At 41.5% G+C, this 20,054-nt stretch overlaps 1 protein-coding gene across 8 annotated transcripts in view; it reads right to left on the bottom strand.

Moving 5' to 3' along the window:
• Positions 1-20,054, bottom strand: part of ALOX5 (arachidonate 5-lipoxygenase) — a 71,902-nt gene that overhangs the window by 38,324 nt on the left and 13,524 nt on the right. For 7 of the 8 annotated variants that reach the window (NM_001320862.2, NM_000698.5, NM_001256154.3 and 4 more), the window contains exon 3: positions 11,858-11,939. The exons of the other annotated variant lie outside the window; for it this stretch is intronic. Coding sequence is in view for 6 of the 7 variants with exons in the window: in NM_000698.5 (NP_000689.1) it covers positions 11,858-11,939 (82 nt within the window). In the remaining variant the exon portion in view is untranslated. The remainder of the gene's footprint in view (positions 1-11,857; positions 11,940-20,054) is intronic. 8 annotated transcript variants of the gene reach the window in all.

Below are 20,054 nucleotides of genomic sequence, written 5' to 3'. Positions count from 1 at the left end.
TTACAAGTGCAGTCACCCACCAGATACAAATGCATATCTGATTGTTCCCCTGCCTTACTTTATCTATGTTCTCTTATGTAAAATGCAGACTCCCTGCATTTTTCCTCTGCCTCATTTGTTTATGTCATCTTATGTTAAAAAAAATGCAGATTCACTGAGCCAGAGAAAGGCATGAATAACTATTTTTCCCTGCCCTGCTCTTACATGAAAATTGTGTACTTCTCAATATCCCGCCCTTTTCCCTTTAAATTTGGAGCCCTCAAAATCACCTTCAGAGAAAGGCATAGTGCTGTCTCCCGGGCATGCGTCCTTAACTTTCGCAAATAAATTTCCTAAAATGATTGAGACTTGTCTCGTCATTTTTCTCAATGACAAGTCCTAGGTGGGGGGGAAAAAAAAAAAGGAAAAAGATACACCTAGGTATATACTGAATACATTTTAAAATGTCCAAGAGACAGGAGAAACAGAGACAGAGAGAAGGAAAGAGATGCAGAGAGTGAACGAGAGAGGAAGAAAGTGGGGGAGGGAGGGAGATAGAAACTCTAGGAAAAGAAACAAACTATCATTAGATTTCTCCTCTGTCATTCTGAAAATGGGAAGACTGAAGTGTATACACACTTTTTTTAGATCGTCATCTAAGCCTCTCATATTGTCATCAATGAGGGCAGGGGAATTTGTTTGAGGGGATGGGTAGGGGGACAGGACGACAAGCACAGACTCAGATCTTACACTACACATGGACCTTCTGAGGAAATTAATTGAACAAGTTCAGCTGAACAAAAATTAAATTAGAATGAATCAATAAACTCCTAAATACAGCAAAGAATATGCATTATAAAACTACAGCAAATATAATAGTAAACAAAGAAACAAAAATATGAGAGGGATGTTCATCACTACTACCACTACTTGTTTTGGGAATTCCAGACATGGAATAAGAAAAGAATATCAGTGGTGTAGATAATGGAAAGTAAGAGACAAAATTATTAACATTTAGATAATATGAGCACATTAACTAACCAGACTCACTAACAACAAACAAACAAAAACAAGTGATTAGAACCAATGAAAGAATTCAGTAAGGGACCAACACACAGTAAATGTAAGAAACAAGTAATTTACATTTATCCCAGCAATATTTTTGCAAACAGAAAAATATCCTACTCAGAACAGCAAATGCTAAATGTAGAGTAGCTAGAAAGGTGAAGGACCTGCATGAAGAAAACTAGAAATTCTATGGAAGTACGTTGACACAGGATCTAGAGAGGTGGAAAGACACGCTGTGTTCCTGGATGGAAAGACTGAATCTCAGTAAAATGCCAACACATAACACAGTTATGTGAAGTTCAAAGTAATTCTCATTATGAAAAACTTAAGAAAGAACAGTGAGATATGTAACAGACATTAACATTTATTAGAAAGTTATGATAACCAAAAGCTGGTGCTGGGGTCTCGAGTAGAAAAATAGGCTAACACATAAAGTGCGGAAACAGACCCAGAGACTATGTATACATAATACAAAACTCGCCAACACTTATCCAGTGCTTTCTATGTGCCTACTACTATTCTCTGTGTTTTCATGGTTTAACCTATTATCTCAAACCCCTAAAAGGAAGGCACTGTTATTTCCCTCATTTTACAGATGAGGGAAGTGAGGCACAGACAGATTAAACAACTTTCACAGGACTGGAGAAAGTGCCAGTAAGTGTGAGTTGAGCCCAGACACTCGAATCCAGAGCTCATGACTGCCATCCTATGCCAGCTTGTACCGTGGGTATCATCATCCCTGTCATCCAAGTCAGGAGGAAAGACATCATCCCTGTCATCCAAGTCAGGAACGAATGCTACCGGGAGAGTTCCACCCAGGTATGTATGAAAACACGTGGCAGGAGTGGGGCATGGTGGCGCACGCCTGTAGCCCCAGCTACTTGGGAGGCTGACGTGGGAAGATGGATTGAGCCTGGGTTAGTTTGAGGCAGCAGTGAACCATGATCATGCCACTGCACTCCAGCCTAGGAAACAGAGCAAGACTCTGTCTCAAAAAAAAAAAAAAAGGTAGATGAATGAAAGCTCTAAACTCAAAGGGGAAATTATAAAAGTATTAGACAAAATTACGGGGGAAGTATTTGTGTAACACTGGGATGGAAAGGGTTTTCTTAAGCAAAGGAGGAAACCCAAAAGTTATAGATGTAAACAATACATAGTTAATAAAATAAAGAACTAAAATCTCCTGTGGCAAAAGCAACAGAAGACAAATAATAAATGCTATACATATGTAACAAACGGATACTATCCTGATATAGAAAGAGCTCCTTTAGATTAATAATTGAAAGAACAATAGGGAAAAAAAGCTTATAAATAGGCAATGCAGTGATGCTTATTAGTGGTCAGGGGAGTGCAGACTAAAACAACCACAAGGTCTTAGGGATTTTTAGACTGTCAAACAAGGTCATCGGGTACTGACAAATGTATGGATGGGCAAAAGTATCTTTTCATACACAGCTGGTAGGACCGCAAATTACGATACAATTTTGTGAAAGGATTTTTGTCGGTATTTCTTAAGATGAAAAAATGCTGATTTGTTCCAGCAATCTGAGTTCTGGAAATGGATCTGCCATTAATTAAAGCACCAGTACATCAAGATGTTTGTACAAGGTTGGTTCTGGCAGCATTGTTTGTACTGCAATACCCAAAACAAACAAACACATCTACAAATGGGAAATGAACTGAACGTCAGTGAATAGGGGAATGGCTAAGTAAATTATGGTGCATTCCCAGAAGGCAAGAAATAGTAGCAGTTTAAGAAGGGGAAAATATATGAGATACTATTTCACACGCAAGAATGAAAACATCTGAAGATGCGAAGTGTTGATGATGCAGGGAAACAGTGAATCTCAGAAACAGTTACTGGGGTGTCTACTGGCAGAATGCCTTTGGAAAACAATCAGCAATATCTAGAAAGCTTAAAAACACGTGGTCTGCAACCCTGCAACTCTACTTCTTGGAATATTCCCTACAGTAACTCTTCCATGAGAGCACAGAGAGATGTGTGAGAAAGCTCACTGTCGCTTGGTTTGCAACAGCTAGAAATTAAAGACAGCCCGCCTGCCCATCAGCAGGAGAGCGGACGAGCGCATGGGTTATTCAGATACTGATATGCCATGAAGAAGTTAACTGCATGAACCACATCTATCTGTGTCAACCAGATCCTCTTCAATACTTAGTGATGAGTGAAAAGTGCAGGTCACATAATGATTAGATTAAATTATATCGATTAACAAACACCTACACTTTGCCATTTACTGCTGTGTGTGAGTGTGCATGTAACACAGACAGATGTGGTCACAGTGGGAGAGCACAAGCTGTGGGCTATGACCTGGGTCTGCTTCTCCTTCTCCCTGCGTGGCTGAGTGAGTAAGGAGGGCCTGCAAGAAGCGCCAGCTTTCTGACATAGTGTGGACTATTCTTAGTCATTGCTTTACTTCCAAACTCTGATCTGGAAGCCTGAGAAATCTTCTGAGAAAGAGGAACTCCAAGATTGTGCAGACAGTGCAAAGTTCAGTGTTTCCTGAACGGAAGCAAAGGAGGGTTTCTGAAAAGGACAGATGAGTGGAAGGAGGAAGAAAAAAATGATTAAATCTAAGAAAGGGGGAAACGATCTCACCAGAAGCCCCCTGCTGCAAGATTATGATAATGTTAAGTAGCTCCCAGATAATTGGGCTAGTTTGTGTTATCTTAGATGAGTAGATAGCAAAGTCTAATTAGAGCCCCACTAATTCATACTAAAGTGTTAGTGGCTTATAACAAATTAAATGAATTTTATGGGCATTTTATCTTAACCCAGATTCACAGGCCAGAAGTGCTCTGAGAACTGGCTGCAGGGGCTTTGCCATAGGTGTCTGAAACAGGGAGGGAAGCCAAGGAAGAAGCATAGAAACAACAGCCCTTTGGGATGGGAGGCAGAGCTCAAGCACAACGTGTGCACTGCACCAGGTATGGAAGTCTGGAAACACATCATATGGTGCCTGAGCTGAGAGGCTTGTGCACAAATACTCTAAAACAAATCACACATTTATAAACCCTTAACATGACCCACAGCACAGCAGGTTACTCTCCCACACTTGATGCTAATGGCATGTAAGTTTTATTTTTGATTTTTCAATTGGGAAATAGAATATATAAAATATGTATGGATATGTATATATGCACACACACACTCACACATGCAGAAAAATGTACAAAACACCTGTACGAACACCATCCAGGTAAAAAATCAGAACATTGTCCGTACCCTCACCCCCACCTTTCCCAATCAACCCTCCTTCCATCCCCGGTAATGACCATCCTCGGCTTTATGATAATCATTTTCTTGTTATTGTTTAAGGTTCCGCTATGACACACCTCCCTAAACAATTTCATTCCAAAGTTATGAATTGGCCAGACACGCTCCTGGCTTCTTTCCTTCAACACTGCGTCAGTGAGGTTTGTCCATGTTAGCAGCAGTTTGTTGATTTTCCTTGCAGTGTAGAATTTTCCTTGACAATTTGTCTGTTCTACTGTTTGTTGGACATTGAGTTGTTGCCATTTTTTGGCCATCATGAGTAATGCTGTTGTGAGTATCCAGGCGCACATGCACACAAATTTGGATCCCACTATAGGATTTCTGGGTCATAGATTATAATGTAGCTTCAGTTTTATGACATATTGCTAAATTGTTTTCCACGGAGGTCTTACCAACTTGTCCTCCTGCCGGTGGTATATGAGTGTTCCCAGCCCTCTGGATCTTCTTTAATACTCAGGTGTTGTCAGTTGTTGAAGTGTTGCCCATCTGGGGGCATATGTGTGGTAGTAGCAGCAGTTCACTGTGATCTTCTGATTTCCCCGAGTCCTAATGAAGTTGAACACCTTTTGTATACTTGCTGCTTATATTTTGTACAGTAAGTACTCAAACTTCTTGCCCATTTTCTAGTGAATGACACTCCCCTTCTTAAAGATTTGTAGGTCCTTCACATACTAGGAATAATTCTCGTCAATCACTCCATGACTTGCCTTCACTCTCTCCTGGTGTCTTTCAATGAACAGAGTGTCCTTATCTTGAGGGAGGCAAACTTACCAATCTTTTCCTTTGTGTTTAATATGTTCTGAGTCTTGTTTGAAAAATCCTTTTAGCTTGAGACCTGGAAGAATAATCACCTGTAGTCTAAATGTCTTACAGTTTTGCCTTTAACTTTTAAGTCTAATCAACCCCAAGCTGAGTCTCCTGAATGGCAAGAGGTGGAGTCTGATTTCTTCTCCTTCTCCTTCAGCCCTCCGTGCTGGCTGGCCCCTGTCCTCGAGATGCATGTCCAGTGGCCCAGTGCCACCCATCAGCCGAGCCCTCCGTAGCAGACCCAGTACCCACATACGTGTGGCTGTTTGTTGTTTCTTTATTCTGTTTCAAGGAATGTTTTTGATGAAAAGGGGGATGAAGCTAAGACAGTTTTGAGGTGGGGCAATTGTGTTCTTGGTGTGGGATTTCTCACCCCTTGACAGCAGTGGGTGGCTGGGCATAGGGGAAGAAGGAGCTACAGGGTTGAGGGATGCTGTTGCAACTTAGAAAAATTAAGAAAAATGAAGATATTGCTCAGTTATGGCAAGTGTTTGATGAAACAGGGACCCATACATGGCTCGTGAAAACTGGTTAAAGATTTTTTTTTTTTTTTTTTTTGAGACGGAGTCTCGCTCTGTCGCCCAGGCTGGAGTGCAGTGGTGCAATCTCGGCTCACTGCAAGCTCCGCCTCCCAGGTTCACGCCATTCTCTTGCCTCAGCCTCCCGAGCAGCTGGGACTACAGGCGCCCGCCACCACGCCCGGCTAATTTTTTGTATTTTTTAGTAGAGACGGGGTTTCACCGTGTTAGCCAGGATGGTCTCGATCTCCTGACCTGGTGATCCACCCACCTCAGCCTCCCAAATGGTTAAAGATTTTTGAGGAGAAATTTGTCAATGTATACTAATAACTTTTACTATTTGGTAATTTCATATCTGGGCATCTGTCCTAGGAAAATACTTAATAATGTATACAAATTTCACATACAAGGGTTTTCACTTTGCTTATAAGAATACAAAAATTAGAAACCTCCTAAATGTCCAGGGAAGCTGGGTGTTTAAGTGAATGATGAGGCATCCATCCAATGGAATAGTACATAGAAACTAGAATAATGTTTATGATGAGATTTTGAAAATATGGGAAAATGATTTTTGCTACACTGCTAAAGGGCAGCAAGGAGGATGCAAAGTGGTATATATAGCACAATCCCAAATTTTAAAAAGTGAATAAGACAAAGTGAAAACAATTAAACATGAATTTTTATGAAAAAGTTCATAAAATTCATAATTCATACAGAAAATAGGTATTTTTCTGGCTCTATATTATTTTCCTTCTTTTACTTTTTTGAGTTAAAAAAACAACCCAGATATACTACATATTCCTTGTAAGAAGTTCAACTATTGAGGGATATGTAGAAAAGTATCACAATATTGGCTCCCAAAGGCCCCTCCACAGCCCAGGTAACTTCACTGTCCATGTAGAATGATTCCTTCCACTTTCTTCCCTTGGAAGGAGGCACAGACTCAAATGTTTCCAGGGGCCAAAGCAGGAAATGAAATGAAAGAAAACCTTGATATAGACAACAGACAAGTGTGGACTGGGGAAGCCTGAAGAATATCTCTGTTTACTCATAAGTCAATAATGATCCATCAAACACTTGTAGAGGCTGGATACAGCCCATCAGCCACCCATTTCCAGAGGAGCACTCTGTAATGTGTTATTATCTTCCAAAAAGCTTTACTGAGATACATTTACATACCATTAAATTCACCCCTTAAAAATATGCTATCAAAAGATTTTAATATATTTGCAGAGTTGTATGTGTAACCATCATTATAACCCAATTCTGAAATAATCTCATCCCCAGAGGACACCTCGAACCCATTAACATTCACTCCTTGTTTCCCCTCCCCAACTCCTAGTGCTAGGCAACTACTCACCTACTAACCTGACTCTGTGGGTTTGCCTATTCTGGACATTTCATACAGATAGAATCACACAATATGGGGTCTTCCGTAAGTGAGTTTTCCATTTAGCATATTTTTGAAGTTCATTCAGTGTTTGGCATCTATCTGTAGTTCATTTCTTTTCTTTTCTTTTCTTTTTTTGAAATGGAGTCTTGCTCTGTCACCCAGGCTGGAGTGCAGTGGCGGGATCTAGGCTCACTGCAACCTCCGCCTCCCGGGTTCAAGTGATTCTCCTGCCTTAGCCTCCCAAGCAGCTGGGATTACAGGCGTGCACCAACATGCCCGGCTAATTTTTGTATTTTTGTAGACATGGGGTTTCACCATGTTGGCCAGGTTGGTCTCAAACTCCTGACCTCAAGTGATCTGCCCGTCTCAACCTCCCAAAGTGCTAGGATTACAGGTGTGAGCCTCCGCGCTTGGCATTCATTCCTTTTTGATGCCAAAAAATATCCCATTGTATGGATAAACTATATTTTGTTTATTCATTCCTCAGTTAATGGAATTTAGGTTGTTTCTACTTTTTGACTATTGTGAACAATGGTGCTATAAATATGTGTGTACAAGTTTTGTATAGACATGTGGTTTCAATATTCTTGGGTAGAGGCCTAGGAGTAGAATTGCTGGGTCATATTGTAGCTGGGTTTCAGATTTTGAGGAACCACTAAACTGTTTTCTGAAGTGGCTGCATCATCTTACATTCCGGTAGCAGCATCAGGGTTCCAGTTTCTCCACATCCTTGGCAGCACTTGTTACTATCTGTCTTTTTTATTCTAACCATTTTAGTGGTTAGAATTGTATCTTGTGGTTTTGATTTGAAATTTCCTGATGATTAATAATGTTGAGCATATTTTCACGTGCTTATTGGAGATTCACAAATTTTCTCTGGAGAACTATTTAATTAAATCCTTTGCTAATTTTTAAACGGGGTTTTTTGTACAGAATATTTTAAAATTGAGTTGTCAGAGTTCTTTATATATTCTGGATACAAGTCCCTTATCAGACATATGATTTAGATATTTTCTCCATTCTGTGGATTGTCTTTTCACTTTATTGATGATGTCCTTTGAAGCATAGATCTTTTACATTTTAATGACATCTAACTTGTCTACTTTCTTTTGCTGCCTGTGCTCTTGGTGCCATATCTAAGAGACTTTGCCGAACCCAAGATTATGAAGACTTACTTGTATGTTTTCTTCCAAGAGTGTTATGTTGTTAGCCCTTACTTTTAGATCTATCATCCATTTTGAATTAATTTTTAAATTTATCTAGCAGCGTTATTGAAATATAATGCACATACTGTAAAATTTATCCATTTAAAGTGTTCAATTCAAGGATGTTTAGTATTAATTTTTACACAATGGACAACCATCAGTTTTAGAACATTTTCATCCCCGGCAAAAGGAACACTGTATCCTTTAGCTGTCACTCCCATGACCACTTCCTCATTCCCTGCCCCTAGGCAACCAGTAATCTACTTTATATCTGTACAGATTTTTCTTTTCCAGAAATTTCATATAAAAGGAATCATACAATATATGATCTTTTGTGACTGGTTTCTTTCACTTAGCATAATGTTTTTGAGATTCATCCATGTTGTAACAAGTGTCAGTATTTCATTCTTCTTTCATGGTCAAATTATATAGATATACTATATTTTATCCATTCATCCATTAATGGACGTTTGGGTTGTGTACACTTTTTGATAGTTACAGGTCATGCTGCTATAATCATGCATGTACAAGTTTTTGTGTGGGCATATGTTTCCATTTCTGTTGGGAATATGCTTAAGAGTGGAAATGCTGTCATATTGTAACTCTCTGTTGAACAGTCAGGAGCTAGCAGACTGTTTCCCAAGCAGCTGTGCCATTTTACATTCCCACCAGCAGTGTATGAGGGTTCTGATTTCTCCACATCCTTGTCAACACTTGTTCTTGTCGGATTTTTTTATTCTAGCCATCCTAGTATCAAGTGGTATCTCATTGTGGTGTTGATTTGCATTTCCTAGATGACTAATGGGTCCTTGGAGAAATATCTATTCAGATCCTCACTCATTTTTTTCATTTTTTAATTGGACTATTTGTCTTTATTGAGTTGTAAGAGTTCTTTATAAATTATGGATGGAAGGCCCTTATCAGATATACAATTTGTAAATATTTCTTCCATTCTGTGGTTCATCTTTTCACTTTCTTGATGGTGTCCTTTGAAACATAAAGGTTTGTAAATTTGATGACATCACTTTATCACTTTATCTATTTTTCTTTTGTTGCTGATGCTTTTGGTGTCATATCAAGAGTCCTTTGTCAAATCCAAAGTCATGAAGGTTTACTCCTGTGTTTTCTTAAAAGAGTTTTATAGTTTTAGCTCTTACATTTAGGTAGGTATTTGACTCATTTTGTGTTAATTTATGTATATGGTGTGAGCTAAGGATCCAACTTCATTCTTTTGCATGTGGCTATCCAGTTTTGCTAGGACCATTTGTTGAAAAGACTATTCTTTCTCTGTTAAACTGTCTTGCTGCTTCTGTCAAAAATTAATTGGCCATAAGTGTAAGGGCTTATTTCTGGACTCTCAAGTCTATTTCATTGATCTATATATCTATCCTTATGCCGATATCACATTGTCTTGAATACTATAGCTGTGTAGTAATTTTGATATTGAGAAGTGCAAGTCCTCCATCTTTGTTTTCTTTTTATCAAGATTGTTTTGGCTATTCTGGGTCCCTTCCATTTCCATATGAATTTGCAGAATTGACAGCTTGTCAATTTCTGCAAAGAAATCAGCTAGAATTTTGATAAGGGTTGTGTTGAACGTGTACATTAATTTGTGGGGTATTGCCATTTTAACAAAATTAAGTCCTCTGATTCATGAACATGAAATGTCTTTCAACCTATTTAGATCTTCTTTAATAATGTTAAACAATGTTTTGTAGTTTCATTGTACAAGTCTCAGACTACTTTGTTAAATTTATTCATAAATGTTTACTGTTTTTGATGCTATTGTAAATTGAACTTTTTCTTACTTTTATTTCACATAGTTGGTTGTTAATGTATAGAAAAACAATTGATTATCTTGTATCTTGCAATCTTGGTGGTTTATTAGTTCTAATAATTTCTTTTGGTGAATGCCTTCAGATTTTCTATATATAAGATCATGTTATTTGTAAATTGTGGTAGTTTTACTTACTGTACTCCATTGTGGGTGCCTTTACTTATCTTTTTATTCCCTAACTGAGCTGGCTAGACCCTCCAGTACAATGTTGAATAGAAGTAGCAAAAGTGAACATCTTTATCCTGTTTCTGGATTCAGCCTTTCATCATTAAGTATAATGTTAACTGTGAATTTTCTTTTTTTGTGTATGTGGGGGGACGGAGTCTTGCTTGTCACCATGCTGGAGTGCAGTGGCATGATCTCAGCTCACTGCAACCTCCGCCTTCTGGGTTCAAGTGATTCTCCTGCCTCAGCCTCCTGAGTAGCTGGGACTACAGGCGCATGCCACCACACACAGCTACTTTTTGTATTTTAGTATAGACGGGGTTTCACCATGTTGGCCAGGATGGTCTCAATCTCTTGACATCGTGATCCACCCGCCTTGGCCTCCCAAAGTGCTGGGATTACAGGTGTGAACCACCACGCCCAGCCTAATTGTGAATTTTCAAACCTTTATCAGGTTGAGGACATTTTCTTCAATTCCTATTTTTTGAGTGTTTTATCATGAATGGGTGTTGGATTTTGTCAAATGCCTTTTTTGTATGTCTATTGAAATGATTATGTACTTTGTTTTGTTTTGTTATTTACTCTATTGATATGGTGAATTCAATTAATTGATTTTTGGATGTTAAACCAACTTTGCATTCCTGGGCTAAATCCCACATGTTCATATTGTTTAATGCCTTTTATATACTTCTGGGTTAGGTTTGCTAGTATTTCGTTGAAAATGTTTATATCTATATTGCTAAGGGATATTGGTTTATAGTTTTCTTGTGATGCCTTTAGTTTTGGTATAATATGGGTATGAGACAATGAATTGGGAAGTGTTCCTTCTATTTCTTAAAAGAGTTTATGCAAGATCAGTATTAATTCTTTAAATGTTTGATAGAATTAGCCAGTGAAGCTATCTGGGTCTGGGCTTCTATTTGTGGGAAATTTTAGAATTAGTAATTCAATCTCTTTGGTTGTGATTGTTTTATTCAGATTAACTATTTCTTCATGAGTCAGTTTTGGCAGTTTGCGTCTTTCTAGGAATTTGCGCATTTCATTTAACTAGTTTGTTGGCATGCAATTGTTCATAGTATTCTTTTTTATTAATTTTAATTTCTGTATTGATTTTCCCTCATTTTATGAGTCTCATTTTTCCTTTTTTATTCATTTTAATTTCTGTATTGATTTTCTCTTATTGCTCATTTTAATGGTTTGAATCCTCTGGTCAGTTGGCTGAAGAGTTGTCAATTTTATTGCTGATCATGTATCACTTTTATAATTGAATTGTTATAAGAAGACATAAGAAGTAAGAGGCAACCCCTACAATGGAGAACATTAAGGTACACTCAAGCTTTTCTGCCCATTCTTCCTACATGCCAATATGGTTGATCCAAAGTTATTTTCATTACTCTCCTCTCCATCTCTTGTCTGGAGTTGTAGGTAAGGTGAAGTTTGGGGATTGTGCACCCACACTGGGAGCTGGTGCCTTGGTGACTTTCCAGCAGTGACAGGCCATACACTGTGGAAAGGGTTTATTTCATACCATGCTCTTGAGATAGAAGAAACCATGGCCCCGTGGCCACTCGATCTGATGTCATAACTCACCGATATTGTTTTTGCCGTGTTTCCAGTTCTTTACGTCGGTGTTGCTTGAGAATGTGAATTTGGTCATCTCGGGCCAACTTTGCTGTAAAGAAAGAACAACATGAGAGGAGCCTGAGGAAGAACAATAACAATGCCCAATGCCAAGTGTTCAGGCTTCCCTCAGATGCCCTGCCCATGCCGAGTGCTTTATGTGCATGACCTCATTTGAGCCTCAGAGCACTTCCCCAATTAATGATGAAGAAACTGAGGCTTAGGGAAGTTGTGTAGCTTTGCTCTTGAACTTTACCCAAGGTCACACACCTAATTAGTGAATTTTCTTTTTTTTTTTTTAATTCTACTTTAAGTTCTAGGATACATGTGCACAACGTGCAGGTTTGTTACATATGTATACATGTGTCATGTTGGTGTGCTGCACCCATTAACTCGTCATTTACATTAGTTATATCTCCTAATGCTATCCCTCCCCCTTACCCCCACCCCATGACAGACCTTGGTGTGTGATGTTCCCCTTCCTGTGTCCAAGTGTTCTCATTGTTCAATTCCCACCTATGAGTGAGAACATGTAGTGTTTGTTTTTTTGTCCTTGCGATAGTTTGCTGAGAAGGGTGATTTCCAGCTTCATCCATGTCCCTACAAAGGACATGAATTCATCCTTTTTTATGGCTGCATAGTATTCCATGGTGTATATGTGCCACATTTTCTTAATTCAGTCTATCATTGATGGACATTTGGGTTGGTTCCAAGTCTTTGCTATTGTGAATAGTGCTGCAATAAACATACGTGTGCATGTGTCTTTATAGCAGCATGATTTATAATCCTTTGGGTATATACCCAGTAATGGGATGGCTGGGTCAAATGGTATTTCTAGTTCTAGATCCCTGAGGAATTGCCACAGTGTCTTCCACAAAGGTTGAACTAGTTTACAGTCCCACCAACAGTATAAAAGTGTTCCCATTTCTCCACACCCTCTCCAGCACCTGTTGTTTCCTGACTTTTTAATGATTGCCATTGTAACTGGTGTGAGATGGTATATCATTATGGTTTTGATTTGCATTTCTCTGATGGCCAGTGATGATGAGCATTTTTTCATGTGTCTGTTGGCTGCATAAACGTCTTCTTTTGAGAAGTGTCTGTTCATATCCTTCGCCCACTTTTTGATGGGGTTGTTTGTTTTTTTCTTGTAAATTTGTTTGAGTTGTTTGTAGATTCTGGATATTAGCCCTTTGTCAGATGAGTAGATTGCAAAATTTTTTTCCCATTCTGTAGGTTGCCTGTTCACTCTGATGGTAGTTTCTTTTGCTGTGCAGAAGCTCTTTAGTTTAATTAGATCCCATTTGTCCATTTTGGCTTTTGTTGCCATTGCTTTTGGTGTTTTAGACATGAAGTCCTTGCCCATGCTTATGTCCTGAATGGTATTGCCTAGGTTTTCCTCTAGGGTTTTGATGGTTTTAGGTCTAACATTTAAGTCTTTAATCCACCTTGAATTAATTTTTGTATAAGGTGTAAGGAAGGGATCCAGCTTCAGCTGTCTACCTATGGCTAGCCAGTTTTCCCAGCACCATTTATTAAATAGGGAATCCTTTCCCCATTGCTTGTTTTTGTCAGGTTTGTCAAAGATCAGATGGTTGTAGATGTGTGGTGTCATTTCTGAGGGCTCTGTTCTGTTCCATTGGTCTATATCTCTGTTTTGGTACCAGTACCATGCTGTTTTGGTTACTGTAGCCTTGTAGTATAGTTTGAAGTCAGGTAGCATGATGCCTCCAGCTTTGTTCTTTTGGCTTAGGATTGTCTTGGCAATGCGGGCTCTTTTTTGGTTCCATATGAACTTTAACGTAGATTTTTCCAATTCTGAGAAGAAAGTCATTGGTAGTTTGATGGGGATGACATTGAATCTATAAATTACCTTGGGAGTATGGCCATTTTTATGATATTCATTCTTCCTATCCATGAGCATGGGATGTTCTTCCATTTGTTTGTGTCTTCCTTTATTTCGTTGAGCAGTGATTTGTAGTTCTCCTTGAAGAGGTCCTTCACATCCCTTGTAAGTTGGATTCTTAGGTATTTTATTCTCTTTGTAGCAATTGTGAATGGGAGTTCACTCCTGATTTGGCTCTCTGTTTGTCTGTTATTGGTGTATAAGAATGCTTGTGATTCTTGCACATTGATTTTGTATCCTGAGACTTTGCTGAAGTTGCCTATCAGCTTTAAGGAGATTTTGGGCTGAGACAATGGGGTTTTCTAAATATACAATCATGTCATCTGGAAACAGGGACAATTTGACTTCCTCTTTTCCTAATTAAATACCCTTTATTTCTTTCTCCTGCCTGATTGCCCTGGCCAGAACTTCCAACACTATGTTGAATAGGAGTGGTGAGAGAGGGCATCCCTGTCTTGTGCCAGTTTTCAAAGGGAATGCTTCCAGTTTTTGCCCATTCAGTATGATATTGGTTGTGGGTTTGTCATAAATAGCTCTTATTATTTTGAGATACGTCCCATCAATACCTAATTTATTGAGAGTTTTTAGCATGAATGGTTGTTGAATTTTGTCAAAGGCCTTTTCTGCATCTATTGAGATAATCATGTGGTTTTTGTCTTTGGTTCTGTTTATATGCTGGATTACATTTATTGATTTGTGTATGTTGAACCAGCTTTGCATCCCAGGGATGATGCCCACTTGATCCTGGTGGATAAGCTTTTTGATGTGCTGCTGGATTCGGTTTGCCAGTATTTTATTGAGGATTTTTGCATCGATGTTCATCAGGGATATTGGTCTAAAATTGTTTTTTTTGTGTGTGTATCTGCCAGGCTTTGGTATCAGGATGATGCTGGCCTCATAAAATGAGTTAGGGAGGATTCCCTCTTTTTCTATTGATTGGAATAGTTTCAGAAGGAATGGTACCAGCTCCTCCTTGTACCTCTGGTAGAATTCGGCTGTGAATCCATCTGGTCCTGAACTTTTCTGGGTTGGTAGGCTGTTAATTATTGCCTCAATTTCAGAGCCTGTTATTGGTCTATTCAGGGATTCAACTTCTTCCTGGTTTAGTCTTGGGAGGGTGTATGTGTCGAGGAATTTATCCATTTTTTCTAGATTTTCTAGTTAATTTGCTTAGAGTTGTTTATAGTATTCTCTGATGGTAGTTTGTATTTCTGTGGAATCCGTGGTGATGTCCCCTTTATCACTTTTTATTGCGTCTAATTGATTCTTCTCTTCTTTTTTTTTTCTTTTTTTTTAATTGATCATTCTTGGGTGTTTCTCGCAGAGGGGGATTTGGCAGGGTCATAGGACAATAGTGGAGGGAAGGTCAGCAGATAAACAAGTCAACAAAGGTCTCTGGTTTTCCTAGGCAGAGGACCCTGCGGCCATCCGCAGTGTTTGTGTCCCTGGGTACTTGAGATTAGGGAGTGGTGATGACTCTTAAGGAGCCTGCTGCCTTCAAGCATCTGTTTAACAAAGCACATCTTGCACTGCCCTTAATCCATTTAACCCTGAGTGGACACAGCACATGTTTCAGAGAGCACAGGGTTGGGGGTAAGGTCATAGATCAACAGGATCCCAAGGCAGAAGAATTTTTCTTAGTACAGAACAAAATGAAAAGTCTCCCATGTCTACCTCTTTCTACACAGACACAGCAACCATCCGATTTCTCAATCTTTTCCCCACCTTTCCCCCTTTTCTATTCCACAAAACCACCATTGTCATCATGGCCCGTTCTCAATGAGCTGTTGGCTACACCTCCCAGATGGGGTGGTGGCCAGGCAGAGGGGCTCCTCACTTCCCAGTAGGGGTGGCCAGGCAGAGGCACCCCTCACCTCCCGGACGGGGCAGCTGGCCGGGCGGGGGGCTGACCCCCCCACCTCCCTCTCGGACGGGGCGGCTGGCCGGGCGGGGGGCTGAACCCCTCCCCTCCCGGACGGGGCGGCTGGCCGGGCGGGGGGCTGACCGCCCCCCACCTCCCTCCCGGACAGGGTGGCTGCCGGGCGGAGACGCTCCTCACTTCCCAGACGGGGCGGCTGCCGGGCGGAGGGGCTCCTCACTTCTCAGAAGGGGCGGCTGCCGGGCGGAGGGGCTCCTCACTTCTCAGATGGAGGGGCTCCTCACTTCTCAGATGGGGCGGCTGCCGGGCGGAGGGTCTCCTCACTTCTCAGACAGGGCGGCCGGGCAGAGGCGCTCCTCACCTCCCAGACAGGGTGGTGGGGCAGTGGTGCTCCCCACATCTCAGATGATGGGCGGCTGGGCAGAGACGCTCCTCACTTCATCCCAGACGATGGGCGGCCAGGCAGAGACGCTCCTCACTTCCTAGACAGGATGGCGGCCGGGCAGAGACGCTCCTCACTTTCCAGACTGGGCAGCCAGGCAGAGGGGCTCCTTACATCCCAGACGATGGGTGGCCAGGCAGAGACGCTCCTCACTTCCCAGACGGGGTGGCGGCCGGGCAGAGGCTGCAATCTCGGCACTTTGGGAGGCCAAGGCAGGCGGCTGGGAGGTGGAGGTTGTAGCGAGCCGAGATCACGCCACTGCACCCCAGCCTGGGCACCATTGAGCACTGAGTGAATGAGACTCCGTCTGCAATCCCGGCACCTCGGGAGGCCGAGGCTGGCGGATCACTCGCGGTTAGGAGCTGGAGACCAGCCTGGCCAACACAGCGAAACCCCGTCTCCACCAAAAAAATATGAAAAACAGTCAGGCGTGGCGGTGCGCACCTGCAATCGCAGGCACTCGGCAGGCTGAGGCAGGAGAATCAGGCAGGGAGGTTGCAGTGAGCCGAGATGGCAGCAGTACAGTCCAGCTTTGGCTCGGCATCAGAGGGAGACCGTGGAAAGAGAGGGAGAGGGAGACCGTGGGGAGAGGGAGAGGGAGACCGTGGGGAGAGGGAGAGGGAGAGGGGAGAGGGGAGATGGGAGAGGGGAGAGGGGAGATGGGAGAGGAGAGAGGGGAGAGGGGAGAGGGGAGAGGGAGAGCTGATTCTTCTCTTTTCTTCTTTATTAGTCTTGCTAGCAGTCTATCAATTTTGTTGATCCTTTCAAAAAATCAGCTCCTGGACTCATTGATTTTTTGAAGGGATTTTTGTGTCTCTACCTCCTTCAGTTCTGCTCTGATCTTAATTATTTCTTGCCTTCTGCTAGCTTTTGAATGTGTTTGCTCTTGCTTCTCTAGTTCTTTTAACTGTGATGTTAGGGTGTCAATTTTAGATCTTCCCTGCTTTCTCTTGTGGGCATGTAGTGCTATAAATTTCCCTCTACACACTGCTTTAAATGTGTCCCAGAGATTCTGGTATGTTGTGTCTTTGTTCTCATTGGTTTCAAAGAAAATCTTTATTTCTGCCTTCATTTCGTTATGTACCCAGTAGTCATTCAGGTGCAGGTTGTTCAGTGTCCATGTAGTTGAGAGGTTTTGAGTGAGTTTCTTAATCTTGAGTTCTAGTTTGATTGCACTGTGGTCTGAGAGACAGTTTGTTATGGTTTCTGTTCTTTTACATTTGCTAAGGAGTGCTTTACTTCCAACTATGTGGTCAATTTCAGAATAGGTGTGATGCAGTGCTGAGAAGAATGTACATTCTGTTGATTTGGGGTGGAGAGTTCTGTAGATGTCTATTAGCTCCGCTTGCTGGAGAGCTGAGTTCAATTCCTGGATATCCTTGTTAACTTTCTGTCTCATTGATCTGTCTAATGTTGACAGTGGGGTGTTAAAGTCTCTCATTATTATTGTGTGGGAGTCTAGGTCTCTTTGTAGGTCTCTAAGGACTTGCTTTATAAATCTGGGTGCTCCTGTATTGGGTGCATATACGTTTCGGATAGTTAGCTCTTCTTGTTGAATTGATCCCTTTACCATTATGTAATGGCCTTCTTTGTCTCTTTTGATCTTTGTTGGTTTAAAGTCTGTTTTATCAGAGACTAGGATTGCAACCCCTGCCTTTGTTTTCCATTTGCTTGGTAGATCTTCCTCCAATCCCTTTATTTTGAGCTTATGTGTGTCTCCGCACATGAGATGGGTTTCCTGAATACAGCACACTGATGGGTCTTGACTCTTTATCCAATTTGCCAGTCTGTGTCTTTTAATTGGAGCATTTAGCCCATTTACATTTATGGTTAATATTGTTATGTGTGAATTTGATCTTGTCTTTACGATGTTAGATGGTTATTTTGCTCATTAGTTGATGCAGTTTCTTCCTAGCATTGATGGTCTTTACAATGTGGCATGTTTTTGCAGTGGCTGGTACCAGTTGTTCATTTCCATGTTTAGTGCTTCCTTCAGGAGTTCTTTTAGGGCAGGCCTGGTGGTGACAAAATCTCTCAGCATTTGCTTGTCTGTAAAGGATTTTATTTCTCCTTCACTTATGAAGCTTAGTTTGGCTGGATATGAAATTCTGGGTTGAAAATTCTTTTCTTTAAGAATGTTGAATATTGGCCCCCAGTCTCTTCTGGCTTGTAGGGTTTCTGCCGAGAGATCAGCTGTTAGTCTGATGGGCTTCCCTTTGTGGGTAACCTGACCTTTCTCTCTGGCTGCCCTTAACATCTTTTCCTTCATTTCAACTTTGGTGAATCTGACAATTATGTGTCTCGGAGTTGCTCTTCTCAAGGAGTATCTTTGTGGTGTTCTCTGTATTTCCTGAATTTGAATGTTGGCCTGCCTTGCTAGGGTGAGCAAGTTCTCCTGCATAATATCCTGCAGAGTGTTTTCCAACCTGGTTCCATTCTCCCCATCACTTTCAGGTACACCAATCAGATGTAGATTTGGTCTTTTCACATAGTCCCATATTTCTTGGAGGCTTCGTTCATTTCTTTTTATTCTTTTTTCTCTAAACTTATCTTCTCGCTTCATTTCATTCATTTGATCTTCAGTCACTGATACCCTTTCTTACAGTTGATCGAATCGGCTACTGAAGCTTGTGCATTCGTCACATAGTTCTCGTGCCATGTTTTTCAGCTCCATCAGGTCATTTAAGGACTTCTCTACATTGGTTATTCTAGTTAGCCATTCGTCTAATCTTTTTTCAAGGTTTTTAGCTTTTTTTGCGATGGGTTCCAACTTCCTTCTTTAGCTGGGAGAAGTTTGATCATCTGAAGCCTTCTTCTCTCAACTCGTCAAAGTCATTCTCCATCCAGCTTTGTTCCACCACTCGCGAGGAGCTGCCTTCCTTTGGAAGGGGAGAGGCACTCTGATTTGTAGAATGTTCAGCTTTTCTGCTCTGTTTTTCCCCATCTTTGTGGTTTTATTTACCTTTGGTCTTTGATGATGGTGACGTACAGATGGGGTTTTGGTGGTGTGGATGTCCTTTCTGTTTGTTAGTTTTCCTTCTAACAGTCAGGACCCTCAGCTGCAGGTTTGTTGATGTTTGCTAGAGGTCCACTCCAGACCCTGTTTGCCCGAGTATCAGCAGCAGAGGCTGCAGAACAGCGAATATTGCTGAACAGCAAATGTTGCTGCCTGATTGCTCCTCTGGAAGCTTTGTCTCAGAGGTGTACCTGGCCATGTGGGGTGTCAGTCTGCCCCTACTGGAGGGTGCCTCCCAGTTAGGCTACTCTGGGGTCAGGGAGCCACTTGAGGGGGCAGTCTGTCCCTTCTCAGATCTCAAATTCCATGTTGGGTGAACCACTAGTCACTTCAAAGCTGTCAGACAGGGACATTTAAGTCTGCAGAGGTTTCTGCTGCCTTTTGTTCGGCTATGACCTGCCCCCAGAGGTGGAGTCTACAGAGGCTGGCAGGCCTTCCTGAGCTGCGATGGGCTCCACCCAGTTCGAGCTTGCTGGCAATGAGCAAGGCTCTGTGGGCATGGGACCCTCCGAGCCAGACATGGGATATAATCTCCTGGTATGCTGTTTGCTAAGACTGTTGGAAAAGTACAGTATTAGGGTGGGAGTGACCCAATTTTCCAGGTGCTGTCCGTCACCACTTCCCTTGGCTAGGAAAGGGAATTCCCTGACTCCTTGCACTTCCCAGGTGAGGTGATGCTCACACTCAATGGGCTGCCCCCACTGTTCTGCCCCCACTGTCCAACAATCCCCAGTGAGATGAACCCAGTGCCTCAGTTGGAAATGCAGAAATCACCCATCTTCTGCATTGCTCATGTTGGGAGCTGTAGACTGGAGCTGTTCCTATTCGGCCATCTTGGAACCAGTCTGAATTAGTGAATTTTCAACATAAAACTCAACTCCTGTGCTCTTAGCCACTCACTTTACAAAAGCCAAATCCAGTTCC

Source organism: Homo sapiens, chromosome 10 (assembly GCF_000001405.40).
Source record: "Homo sapiens chromosome 10, GRCh38.p14 Primary Assembly".
NCBI lineage: Eukaryota > Metazoa > Chordata > Mammalia > Primates > Hominidae > Homo > Homo sapiens.
This window is presented reverse-complemented; position numbering and strand designations above follow the sequence as displayed.